This window comes from Homo sapiens, chromosome 2 (genome assembly GCF_000001405.40).
Source record: "Homo sapiens chromosome 2, GRCh38.p14 Primary Assembly".
In the NCBI taxonomy this organism is placed as follows: Eukaryota; Metazoa; Chordata; class Mammalia; order Primates; family Hominidae; genus Homo; species Homo sapiens.
This window is the reverse complement of record NC_000002.12, coordinates 162,779,326-162,792,996: the sequence shown is the minus strand read 5'-3', so window position 1 is coordinate 162,792,996 and position 13,671 is coordinate 162,779,326. Positions and strand designations below refer to the sequence as shown.

General features: G+C 36.0%; 1 protein-coding gene and 1 long non-coding RNA gene across 8 annotated transcripts in view; one reads left to right on the top strand and one right to left on the bottom strand.

Moving 5' to 3' along the window:
• The window catches only part of KCNH7 (potassium voltage-gated channel subfamily H member 7), a 467,361-nt gene that overhangs the window by 45,771 nt on the left and 407,919 nt on the right, over positions 1 to 13,671 (top strand). The gene's annotated exons all lie outside the window — the stretch shown is intronic.
• KCNH7-AS1 (KCNH7 antisense RNA 1) overlaps positions 1 to 13,671 on the bottom strand; it is a 29,037-nt gene that overhangs the window by 4,976 nt on the left and 10,390 nt on the right. The window contains exons 3-4 of the long non-coding RNA NR_110258.2: positions 8,261 to 8,400; positions 7,837 to 8,004 (exon numbers count right to left, since the gene is read on the bottom strand). This is a non-coding gene — a long non-coding RNA (KCNH7 antisense RNA 1). The remainder of the gene's footprint in view (positions 1 to 7,836; positions 8,005 to 8,260; positions 8,401 to 13,671) is intronic.

Sequence of the window (13,671 nt, the reverse complement as noted above, 5' to 3'; positions counted from 1 at the left end):
GACACAGCTAAGGCAGTATTAAGAGGGAAATTTATAAGATTAAATTCCCATATCAAAAAGTTAGAAAGCTCTCAAGTTAACAACCTAACATCACAACTGAAAGAACTAGACAACTAAGAGCAAACAAATCCCAAGCTAGTAGACCACAAGAAATAACCAAAATCAGAGCTGAACTGAAGGAGATTGAGACACACACACACACACACACACACACACACACACACACACACACACCATTCAAAAGATCAACAAATCCAGGAGCTGGGTTTTTTTTGAAAAAAAAAAAAATAAGCTGCTTGTTAGACTAATAAAGAAGAAAAGAGAGAAGATTCAAATAAACGCAAAGGGGATCAGAAACAACAAAGGGGACATTACCACTGACCCTATAGAAATATAAACAACCACCAGATAATATTATAAACACCTCTATGCACATAAACTAGAAAATTTAGAAGAAATGGATAATTTCCTGGACACACATACACTCTAAGACTGAGCCAGGAAGAATTCGAATCCCTGAACAGACCAATAATAAGCTCTGAAATTGAGTCAGTATTAAATAGCTTACTAACCAAAAAAAGCCAGGGCCAGATGGATTCACAAATGAATTCTGCCAGATGTATGAAGAAGAGCTGGCAATATTCCTGCTGAAACTATTCCAAAAAAATTGAGGAGGAGGGACTCCTCCCTAACTCATTCTATGACCCAGTATCATTGTGATACCAAAACCTTGCATAAATACAACAAAAAAGAAAACTTCAGGCCAATATCCTTGATGAACATTGATGCAAAAATCCTCAACAAAATACTGGCAAACCAAATCCAGCAGCACATCAAAAAGCTTATCCACCATGATCAAATAGGCTTTATCCCTGGGATGCAAGTTTGGTTCAACATAACTAAATCAATAAATGTGATACATAACATAAACAGAACTGAAGACACAAACCACATGATTATCTCAATAGATGCAGAAAAGACTTTCAGTAAAATTCAGCACCCCTTCATGTTAAAAAAAAAACTCGATAAATTAGGTATTGAAGGAATATACTTCAATATAATAAGAGCCATCTATGGCAAACCCACATTCAGCATCATACTGAATGGGCAAAAACTGGAAGTATTCCCCCTGAAAACTGGCACAAGACAAGGATGCCCTCTCTCACTAATCCTATTCAACATAGCATTGGAAGTCCTGGCTAGGGCAATCAGCCAAGGGAAAGAAGTAAAGGACATCCAAATAGGAAGAGAAGAATTCAAACTATCCCTCTTTGCAGATGACATGATCCAATATCTAGAAAACCCCATAGTCTCAGCCCAAAAGCTTCTTAAGCTGATAAGCAACTTCAGCAAGGTCTCGGGATACAAAATCAATGTGCAAAAATCACTAGCATTCCTATACACCAACAATCAAGCTGAGAGCCAAATCAGGAATGTAATCTCATTCACAATTGCCACAAAAAGAATAAAATACTAGGAATACAGATAAGTAGGGAGGTTAAAGATCCCTACAAGGAGAACCACAAAACACTGCTCAAAGAAATCAGAGGTGACACAAACAGATAGAAAAACATTTTGTGCTCATGGATAAGAAGAAACAATATTGTAAAAATGGCCATACTGCCCAAAGCAATTTAGAAATTCAATAGTATTCCTATTAAACTACCATTGACATTCTTCACAGAACTAGGAAAAAAAACCTATTTTTAAAATTCATAAGAAACAACAACAACAAAAAGCCCAAATAGACAAGGCAATCCTAAGCAAAAAGAACAAAGCTGGAGGCATCATGCTACCTGACTTAATTTCTTTTCTGGATAGTTTGTTGTTAGTGTATTGAAATGCAACTGATTTTTGTCTGTTGACTTTTTTATTCTGAAACTTCACTAAATTAGGTTTTAACAGATTTGTTGGTATAGTCTTTAGGGTGTTCTTTATATAAGATAATGCCATCTGCGAGTAGAGACAATTTAACTTCTTCCCTTCAAATGAAGATGCTTTTTATTTCTTTTCCTTGCCTAATATTTTCAGCTAAGATTTCAAGTACTATGTTGAATACCAAGTGGTGAGAATGGGCATCCTGGTCTTAGAGAAAAAGTTTTCAGCATTTCGCCATTGAGTATGATTTCAACTGTGGATATGTTATATATGGCCTTTTTAATGTTGAAATACATTTTTTCTTTATCTAATTTGTTGAGTTTTTATTATGAAAGAGTTGTGAATTGTGTCAAATGCCTTTTATGCATATATTAAGATGATCATATGATTTTTATCCTTCATTCTGTTAATGAAGTGTATCACAATTTTTGATTTGTGTATGTTGAGCCGTCCTTTCCTCCCAAGTGTAAATCTCACTTTCCTATGATGAATGATCCTCTTAATGTGCTGTTCCATTCAGTTTGCTAGTATTTTGGTGAGGATTTTTGCATCTATGTTTATTGGGGATATTGGCTTATAATCTTTTTCTTGTAGTGTCCTTGCCTGGCTTTGGTATCAGGATAGTGCTGACCTTGTAAAATGAGTTTGTAAGTGTTTTCTCTTTAATTTTTTGGAAGAGTTTGAGAAGAATTAGTATTAATTTTTTTCAGAGGTTTGGTAGAATTCACCAGAGAAGCCATTAGTGTCTGCATTTTTCTTTGATGAGAGATTTGTGATTACTGCTTCAACTTTATTTCTTCTGATTAGTTATTATTCTGTTTTAATTTTCTTTTTCTTTATGATTCAGTCTTAGTAGGTGTGTCTTTCTAGAAACTTATCCATTTCTTCTCGGTTATCCAATTTGTTGGTGAATTATTATACAAATAGTATCCTGTAATTCTTTATATTCCTGTGATATCAGTGGTTATGCTTCCTTTTTCATTTATGATTTTATTTAAGTCATCTCTTTTTTCTTAGATAATCTAGTTAAAGTTTTGTCAATGTTGTTTATCTTCTTAAAAAAACAACTCCTATTTTTATTGATCTTATCTATTGTTCTCTAGTCTTTATTTTATCTCTGTTCTAATATAGTTTGATTTTTTTCTGTTAATGTTTGGCTTAATTTTGTTTTGGTGTTTTCTTCTAGTTCCTTAAGGTGTAAAGTTAGGTTGCTTATTTGAGATCTTTTCTTAATATAGGTGTTCATTGCTATAAAATTACCTCTTAGAACTGGTTTTGCTATATCCCATAAGATTTGATATGTTGTGTTTCATTTTTGTCTCAAGATATTTTTCTCTTTTGCTTTCTTCTCTGATTTATTGGATATTCAGGGGTATGTTGTTTAATTCCAACATTTTTTTTAAGTTTTCTAATTTTCTTCCTGTTATTGTTTTCTAATTTCATACCATTCTGTTCATGAAAGATCCTAGACATGATTTCAACCTTCTTGAATTTGGTAAATCTTGTTTTGTGGCCTAATCTATGATCCTGGATAACATTCTATGTGTGCTAGAGAAGAACATGTATTCCGCTGTGGTTGAATGGAATGGTTTATATACGTCCGTTAGGTTCATTTGGTCTATAGTGTTGTTCAAGTCCAATGTTTACTTATTGATTTTTCTACCTGGATGATCTGTTTATTGTTGAAAGTGGGTTATTAAAGTCTTCTACTATTATTGTATTGCTGTTTACTTCTCCCTTCAGTTATATCAATTTTTGCTTTATATACTTAGATGCTTCAATAGATATTGTATATCTATTAGCAAATGATGATGGCCATATTAATTTTAATAGTCTTGTCTTTTAACTTTTATATTAAAGTCAAACATGATCTACACACCACCATCACAGTATTAGAATATTCTGAATTTGATTATGTTCTTATTTACTGTGAGTTTAATATTTTCATGTTGTTAGTTTGCTTTTGTTTTAACTTGAAGAAGTCACTTTAGCATTTTTATAAGGCAACTATAGTGATTAACTCCCTCAGTCTTTGTTTGGGAAAGTATCTCTCATTTTTGAGGAAACCTTTGCTAGGTACAGTATTCTCAGTTGACAGTTTTGGATTTTTTTTTTTTTTTTTTTTTTTTTAACCAGTACCTGACTATATCATCCCATCATCTTCTGGCATCAAGGTTTCTGCTGAGAAATCTTCTGATAGTCTTATTGTGGTTTCCTTGTATGTTATAGGTTGCTTTTCTATTGCTAATTTATAATCCTCTGTTTGTCTTTGACTTTTGAGAATTTGACTGTAATATGTCTCAGTGACGATCTCTTTATGTTTGATCTATTTGGGGTAATTTACATTTTATGAATGTAGATATTCATCTCCTTCTCCATATTTAGAGTTTTCTGTCATTATTTCTTTTAAGAATCCCTCTGCCTATTTCTTTTTTTTAGTTTGTTTCTTCTTGGACTTAAATAATACATAATTGGTTCACTTGATGGTCTCCCATAGCCCTGCAGGCTTTCTTCCCTCTTTTTCTTTATTTCTTTTTATTTTTGTTTCTCCAATTAGGTCATTTCAAATGACCTGTCTTTGAGTTTGCTAATTCTTTCTTCTGCTTTATCAAGTCTCCTACTGAAGCTCTTTAAAGAATTTTAAATCTTATCTATTGTGTTCTTCAGCTCCAGAATTTTTGATTGGTTCTTTTATATGGTTCCTGTCTCTTTGTTGAACTTTTAATTTTGTTTTTTATTGTTCTCCTGATTTTTATTTCAGGTAGTGGTGTTCTCTTGTAGCTTATTGAACTTCTTCAAAATGATTACAGATGGTTCTCAACTTATGATGGGGTTATGTCCTGGTAAAACTATCATAAGTCAAAACTGCATTTAATATCTCAATCAATTGTAAAGTAAAAAAGTCATAAGTCAACCATCATAAATCAGAGACTGTTTGTATTTTTAATTATTGCCACACAGTTCATGGATTTTCATTTCTTTAGGATAGGCTATGGATGCTTTATTTTTTTTTCTTTGTTGGTGTCATGATTCCATGATTATAAGCAATCCTTTTGGTCTCCCCTTGGTATCTTATCATTTGAAGAATTAGGGTCCTCCTCTACTCTTTACATATTGTATTTGGCAAAGAAAGCACTTCACCAGTCAGCCTTTCCAAAGAGTCTAGGTAGATAGGCTGAAGTATCTGCAGATAACCTTGCTGCTGGAGTCCTTAGGTGGCTGGCCTGGTGCCAAGGTCAGCAAGCACGTGGGCCTGGAGCCTTGGTTCACTGGAGTAGGCCTGGAACTAGGGTCATTGTGGGTGGTCCTGGAGCCTGTGAGTCTGTGGGTCTGTGGATGCCAGCCTGACACCAGGGTCTACTGAGATGGACCTGGAAACTGAGTATATAGCATCTGAACTGATGTTATCTGGGCCTTGAGTCTGAGTCAGTGGGGGCCGGGCTGGTCCTGGGCCAGGCCTGCTGCCTTGATCCATGGGAAAGACTTGATCATGAGTCTGTGGAACTAGCCAGGCACTGCAGTCTACTGCGGTAGTGCTGGCACCTGAATACAGAGGGATGGGCCTGATGTCTGTGATTATGTGTGTGGACCTGGGTCCAAGATCCATGAGTAGCAGCCTCAAGCCTGAATTCGTGGATGCCAGCCTGGTGCTCAGGGCCACAGAGGCTGGCCTGGCACCGGGTTGGTCCTGGATCCTGGGGCTATAGGAGCCAGCCTAGAGCCTGGAGCCACTGAGTCTGGTGTTGCACTGGAGTGGGCCTAGAGCCTGGGTTCATGGTGCCAGCCTAGAACCTGGGTCTGCAGGAGCCAGCTTGACACTAAGGTGAGTCTGGAGCCTGAGTCTGGGGAGTGAGCTTGAGTTCTGGGTCTGTGGGCACTGACCTGGGATCTGAATCCATGGAGGATATCCTACACATGGATCCTAAATCCACATGTGCCAGCCTGGAGACTGGGACTGCCCAGGCCAGCTTGAAACTAGGGCAGGCCTACTGCTTGGGTCTGCAGGGCCTAGCCTGGCACCAGGGTTAACTGGAGAAGGCCTGATACTGGGGTTCACTATGAACTCATTGCTCGATCCATTCTTCTCCCCACATGCTAAAGGTATCATTCTCCATGTTGTGCTGCATGGTTTTCGGGGAAGGTTGATGCAGGTAATATAAAACTGTCCTCCTTACCATCTGCTGTGCATCTTTTCTTATTCTCGTGCTTCGCTCAAGTGCTGTAATCTTTCACCTGCATTCCTTAGAGCATGGTAAGGTATTTTCTGGTGCGGATGGTTGTTCAAATGGATATTTTTGTGAAGGGAAACTCCTATTCCACCATGTTGCTGATGATACCCCTCTTCTTATTTATTTATTTTTAAATCATGCAGCTTAAAATACTGAACATCTGGATACCTCCCCAAATCAACATAGGTCATGTTCAGTAAATTTAAGCATGCTTGTGTTAGACAGCAGCTTACATTTAGAATTTTTTTTAATTGAAGACATAATTTTAAAATACTTTGCTTTAAATACATTGAAACTTTTTGAAACATTTTCAAAGATATTACACCAACATTTATTTAAACAGAATCTATAAAAATCATATGCATTTTAAAATTTGTTTGGTTTATAATAGAAGTACAAGCTCAAAAAGTCGCATTCCCAGGGTCCAATATCTGGCTTGGTGACTTGCTTATTGTGTGGCTTTGGACAATTGGCTTACCTCTGTGCATGTTCTCTTATCTGTAGGATAGGGGTAATTGTAGCTACATAATGGAGTTTAAGTAAGGAGGGGTTGACATAGGTCAAGCTCATGAAACAGTAGCTGGCACACAGTAAGTGTTCCAAGAATGTTGGCTCATACTACTAGCTTTTTTTTTTTTTTTTTTTTTGAGACGGATTCTCACTCTATTGCCCAGGCTGGAGTGCACTGGTGTGATCTCGGCTCACTGCAGCTTCCACCTCCCTGGTTCAAGCAATTCCCCTGCCTCAGCCCCCTGAGTAGCTGGGATTACAGGCACACACCACCATGCTCAGGTGATTTTTTTGCATTTTTATTAGAGATGGGGTTTCACAATGTTGGTCAGGCTGGTCTTGAACTGCTAACCTTGTGATCTGCCCAGCTTGGCCTCCCAAAGTACTGGGATTACAGGCATGAGCCACCGCGCCCAGCCCATACTACTAGTTTTAACTCAAGTTTGTCAAACCATTGAAAGGGAGAGTTTATTAAATAATTTGAAAAATTAATTGTCTAATAAGAGTGGTACAGTTACAATTCAGTGTCCATTCTCAGGAGATGCTAAGTAGCACTGGTCATAGACTCTTGCCTGAAAAAGTTGCCCCTAAAAACCACACAGTCAAAACAGCCAACAAGCAACAACAACAAAAACAAAACAAAAATGCACCCCAACTGCAAACAAACAAAAAACAAAAAACAAAAAACTATTCCACAGGCAGCCTGATATGGAGTAATAGTGCAAAACAGGAGAAAATAAAATCCAAAACACAGAAAGCCTTCCTTTTTAATTCACTCATTTGAATATTTAAAGCAAGTTAGATTTGAGTGACTGCAAAAAAAAAATACAGTGAAGAAAATCAAGACAGCCCAATAGTCGCAAATTATTATAAAAAAGTAAAGTCAGTGAAATGTTGTAAAACTTCCGATGTAAAATATTAAGTGGTCATGATATAGTAACACTAATACTTAGCAAGAACTATAATGATAGAATAGAAAGAAACAAATAGAAAAGTAAGAGCTTTATTAAACTGTTATATTTAAGACTGTCAATCTTAAGGACAGATATTGCTAACTGGTGTATTTAGCTAAATGTGATTCATATCAGTCAAAAAGACTGATGTCTCTTGGTTTATCCTGTTTGATGACAAGCTAATATTTTCTTTCAAAAGTGAAATATATGTATAGTTAACAACATTTTAAGTTGATTCTTAAAACTAAATTGGAAATAGTACGGACCTATCTTTGAATAGAAAAGACCATCCTTATTGGGCTCATGTCAGCTTTCACTGGCAGATTGAGAGTTCCAGTTGTCAGAGGTCTAAGGAATTATGACTCCCTCCAAAACAGCTCCATGACTGCTCCCTTTTCCTCATCCTTCATACCCTCATGGTCTGGTCATAATTTCTGTGGAGGTTAACCAGGAGTTAAAAAGCATTACAACCCCTGCTAGTGTAGAATTAACTCTATCATAAATTAAATGTTTCTAAAATATTATTGTGGCTAGTATGGGATAATTTTGTCAAAGATTCCTTTTACCATTAAATATTTGCTGAAATTTTCCAAAACAATAGTGTATCCAAAGTAGTGCTACCTTCTAAGATCTTTAGGAAAGGAAGGGAATCTAACACTCATGTAATATCTTACTCCATTTGATCCTTACCGCAATTCTGTAGGCGAAGTAATCTTGCTTTATTTGTGGATGAAGACAATGAAACTCAGAGAGACATTTGTCCAAATTTGCCAAGTTTGCAGGTGGTGGTTCTTGAACCTGGAGTTCTCTGGCTTAAGGTCTTTCCACTACTTGATGAAATTAGGGAAAAAAAAGAAAATTTAACATAAAACCACTTAACACGAAGTTAATTCTTCAGTGCTCATATCAATGACTATATAGTTAGTTATAGGTGAATTAATACATCTCTGGTAAGGATTAAATAATAAAATATTGGGGTCAATATTATTATTTCTATACCTAACATGACAGAGGTTGAAGGAAGGAACAGTAGTGGTCAATATGCCAGGGTCCACACTGTAAATCAGCCAGCTACTGTCTCTGAGGAAGTGGTCAAATTATTTAACCCATTGGAGCCTCCATGTTATATAAAAGCAGCCCACAGGATGGTCATGAAGATTAAATAAAACAATGTGATAGGGAATGTTGAACATACATCAGCTCAATAAATCATTGCTGATTTTGAAACAATAGTATTAAGTAGCATATTTTTTTTTCATTTTTAGTTTGCTGAAGACTTCCACTGCTCTTCTACAGGCAGTCTGTATTTTACAAAATCCAAATACTATATTATAAAAAATATATAAATTCAGACTAAATGGGAGTTCTGCATAAATGAAAGTCATGAGAATTCCTGAAACTTGTTTTTTTAAAGGATATCAACATATATTTTATTCAGACATCTAGTAATTAGCTCTTTGAACTGCAACTAGAGTGGACTCAATACATTTATAAAGGAGAAATCTTGAAGTCAGGAATCACCAGAGAATAAGCAGACATTTTTTTACATTTCAAATGGAAACATCCAGAAATATTCTCTTTAATATAGGTTTCTTATGTTCGAAGCTCAGGTATTAAAGATGGAAACTATGTTGAGTTTTAATGACATCTTTTTGTATTCATCATCTTAGAGATGTTGTCTCTAGAGGATACTGCTAAAAGGATTGGCAAAATAAATTTAAGAGAGAATATTTAATCAGTCTAGTCTCACATTGTCTTTCCTTCAGCGAGTGTTTGCTGAGGCATCAGACTAGCAAATATATCTTTGTCAACATCTGCTCTCATTTTCCAAATTGACAGCATTCGGAAGCAGAAGTTGGGATTAAATGTTATTCTTAAACCTTGGATCAAGCTATAAAACCACATTCCGTCTGCTACAGAAAAGCCTTCCTGAAAACATCTCAAAACATTGTTGGCCTGAGCCAAACATGTCCTACAAAGGATGTAAGTTTGTTTTCCAATTTTCCAGGCTTGCCAATATTTTCCAAGTTTATCAAATGTTGAAGCAAATGGATGTTTTTCTGCAAATGCACTATTTCAGGCAGGTCCAAGCAGGGGGAGTCACTAATGAGTGTCATGGGATAAGGAATTTATTATCACAATTATATCTTACACAACTGTGGAAGGGGACATGAAAATGAAGCCCAACTATTATCATAGTTGGATTGTCAGAAAAGCAGTCTAAGAAACCAAGCAGATCCAGCTACCAGATGGGTCTGCCAAGGAAAGCTTGTAGAGATGTCTGTAGGAAACTGTTGCTTCTGATATGTTATTACCTTTGTGGCTCCACAGTGAAGGACTTTGTGGTGGGCCTAGCCACTGTTGGATAACAGAAAGATGCTGGATGCATAGTGAAGAGTTAGGACAGGCTAGGACCCACCAGGTGTCTCTGCATCTGTCCATCACAGCATCTGACTGTGATGACCCTCAGAGACTAATTGCTACTCAACTACTCCACTTTCACCTCCCCAATCTCACATATGCTGCTCTTATTGTCAACTTATAATAATTTGAAGGGGAGGAGATTTCGAGAAACATGATTTCCAGCTTAACCAGATATACAGTGCTCCATCCTACAGGCTATTGATGCCTGTTCCATGGATGGCCTTGGTGAGGATGCTTCAGCGTCCCTTTGAAGCTATTTAACTTTATTTTCAGAATAGTGCAACAGAAACATGCTCAGAATCATTGCTTTTCTTGATACTCAGATGTTTTCTCTTCTTCATTAAATCTCTCTGGTGGCTCTGTTTCTATCCTCATTATTAAAGCCAAAGTTCTTACAATGACCCACGAAGTTTGAAGGTTGGACTCTTTATTTGGTCTCTGGTCTTGTCTCCCAAACTTTTCTCTCTCCTTCCCTCAGCTCCAGCCACACTGGCCTTCTCATTGTTCCTTGAAAATGTCAGACATGCTCTGCTGTAGTGCCTGTGCACTTGCTGTTCCTGGAATGCCTTTCTCCAAAATAGCCACATGACTCATTCCATCACCTTTTTCTGGTCTTTCTTCAAATGTCGACTTCTCAGAAAAGCCTTTCATGACAATTTTATTTAAAACTGTGCCCCTTACTTCCTCTTCACCCTTCCTGTTTTATTTTTTTCCATTGTCCTTTTCATTATCTATGAACAATATATTACATATGTATTTTGTGTGCTATCTTTTCTCGCATACTAGGACATAAGTTCAGTAAGCAGAGAGAATTTCATCTGTTTTGTTTACTGCCATGTATGGCATATGAGGGTGGACAAAAGCCAGTAGCAATGTTACAAGTATGTGTTGAATGTATTTAATAAAATAGAGTTACAAAATCATTTGATCTATTTATAAGAATTATGCATGGGTTTTGTGTCATGAATGCAAGGTCTAATTTTAAATGCCATATTTCAAAATTAATAACACTAGAAAAACCTAAATTCCAGTCAGTTTTTCATCGTGATTTTCATCTCACCAGTGAGGAGACCTGCAATGTGAAGAAATATTCATTGAATTTATCCAGCTTCATAATTTCTTTTGTGCAGGGTATTGAAATAGTCAGTCACTAAAGCAAATTTTCTCAGACATTTTAAGCAATGTGTTCTCTGCTTGAAGTCTTGAATTAATCATTTTCTAACTGACCCCCTGAAACATTAAGGATTGAGCTTAGTGACTTGAGGGAAAGACAGTTTAAAACCAAGTATCTAGATTTATTTGCTAATTTCTTACATGTCAATATGTAGACACTAATCTTTAAGGACCCCATGCTCAAAAAAGTATAATATATGTAATGAAATCCAAAAACACCTTTACTTACTTACCACATCACTGCTGTCTCCCCTGTTACTACTTTCATTTTTTTTCAACTTTCAATCTAATTTTTACCTTCCTCATTCTCTTCCACTAGGTGTATTTGTTTTCATTCTCTTAGATTATCAGAATATGCATAAATAAAGTTGAAAGCCAATAAACATAGGGATTTGGTTAATAAACATAGGGATTTAATAAACATGTAAATGAATGTTAATAAACAACCTGAAGAATTCAGTCTCTGGCCTTATTGCTTACTGCAGCCTGACATTGTGAATTTTTTTTTATTTCTCTTAGTTTCATCTGTTAAACTAAAAAAAAAATTAATAATAATAGATGCTATCAAATGAGGCTTTTATGGGGATGAGATGAGCTAATACATACAAAACATTTAGCACAATGCTGAAGACAAAATGCAAACTGAATTCATGTTATTATCAATATCATTATTTATAAGTGTGAATATACACTTGGTATATAATACTTCAAACCTCTGGTTCTCAGTTTCCTCAGAAATATAATTAAAAATTAAAATAGAGTATCTTTAATCTCCATTTCAGCTATAAAATTCTGATTCTATACAATATAGATTGGATATGTAAATGGCCATATTTGGATATATACAATAGGATATAATCTCTAGTGAATTATCTCTTAAATTAAACAATGATGGCAATTTAACGTTATATCATTTTACCAGTTTATTACAGTCTTTTTATGTGACAGCTGTTCCAACCTTAAAAGGGATCAAATCATACTCTAAACAGTATACTTTTCGAATTGAGTAATTTTTGTTTAGAAACCAGTCAAAATAATGTCTACTGCAAGAAATCTCATACTTATAAGTACATTCTATCCTAAAAGTTGTTGAGTCGATTGTTTGGAACTCTAACACATTTTACACGTAACTAACTTTACATAAGGTTAGACATGGGGGCTGTGTGTCTCCATGCTTGAGAAAAAATTAGTTCAATTAGGAAAATATAAGAGGGTAAATAAAAACGATTTTGCAGAGTCTAAAAGTTGTGTTTGGACATTGTCACAAAACGTAGGGCACTGGGTTGTTATCTTTAATAATATTTTCTGCCCCTACCCTTAGAACTCAAGGATTCTGTTTCTAGATATTGATTGTACAACTACCCTAGCACTGGCTGGCACGCTGTTATTCAGTGCATCACTTTTTGTAGTGGTAGTAAATGATTAGGAAAAAATCCCTACAAATGCTTCAGTAGAGAATGTGTTGCATAAATGACACAATCATGCAGTAAAATACAATGCAGCCCTTAAAAAAGAATGAGATATACTTTTGTGTACTTACCTGAAAACATCACTAAGATATATCATCGAGGAAATGAAAGGAGATGCAGAAAGCTTTGAGTAATAGGCTACAGTTTTTTTGTGGAGGAAAATAACATCTTTATGCCTGTGTCTGTGGATTACTACTGACTATTTTTACCTTTAAGGAAGGGAATTACTTTTCTGGCAACAAGGAAGAGAGACAAGAAGAATTTTGTTCTTCTTTATCAAATTCATAATTCATAAGCAAATGATTTAACTTTGTATTTTCCACCTCCTTGAATCCATTTGCACCACTAACATTCTTGCTATACCAATTGATCATGCATTAGAAAGTTTTTGTTAAAACTCAATTGCAGCAGACTAAGGGAGAAAACACACATGTACCTTGAGGAAGTGGAGGCAATTGAGAGGGGGAAAAGTAAGAGGATTTAAAAGGATGTCTGAACACATGCAAGAGAGAGATTAATTAAAGTGAGATAATTACTGTGTCCAGTGGTTATGTACAATGACACGGAGTTGAGCAAAATTATTCTGAGAGGGAAGAGACCATGAGGGAGCGTGGTTGGCTCAGACAGTGTACTACCACCAGGTGACGTTATCAACCCAAGACAGTTTGGATGCTGTTATAAGTGGGGTACCAAAAGGGGGATAAAAATGAAATGGCATTTGGATTAAAAAGTGGAAAGAAGTGTGTGAGCAACTATTCAGAAGTTATAACAAGAAGTACATATAACAACTTAGCTCTTACAGGATAGGAAAGAGTATAATATTGTGTGCACGCGTATAAAAAGATGTATATAAATTTTTAAGGGCTGGACATGGTGGCTCACGCCTGTAATTCCAGCACTTTGGGAGGCTGAGGCAGGTGGATCATGAGGTCAAGAGATCGAGACCATCCTGGCCAACATGGTGAAACCCCGTCTCTACTAAAAATACAAAAATTAGCTGGGCTTGGTGGCACATGCCTGTAGTCCCAACTACTC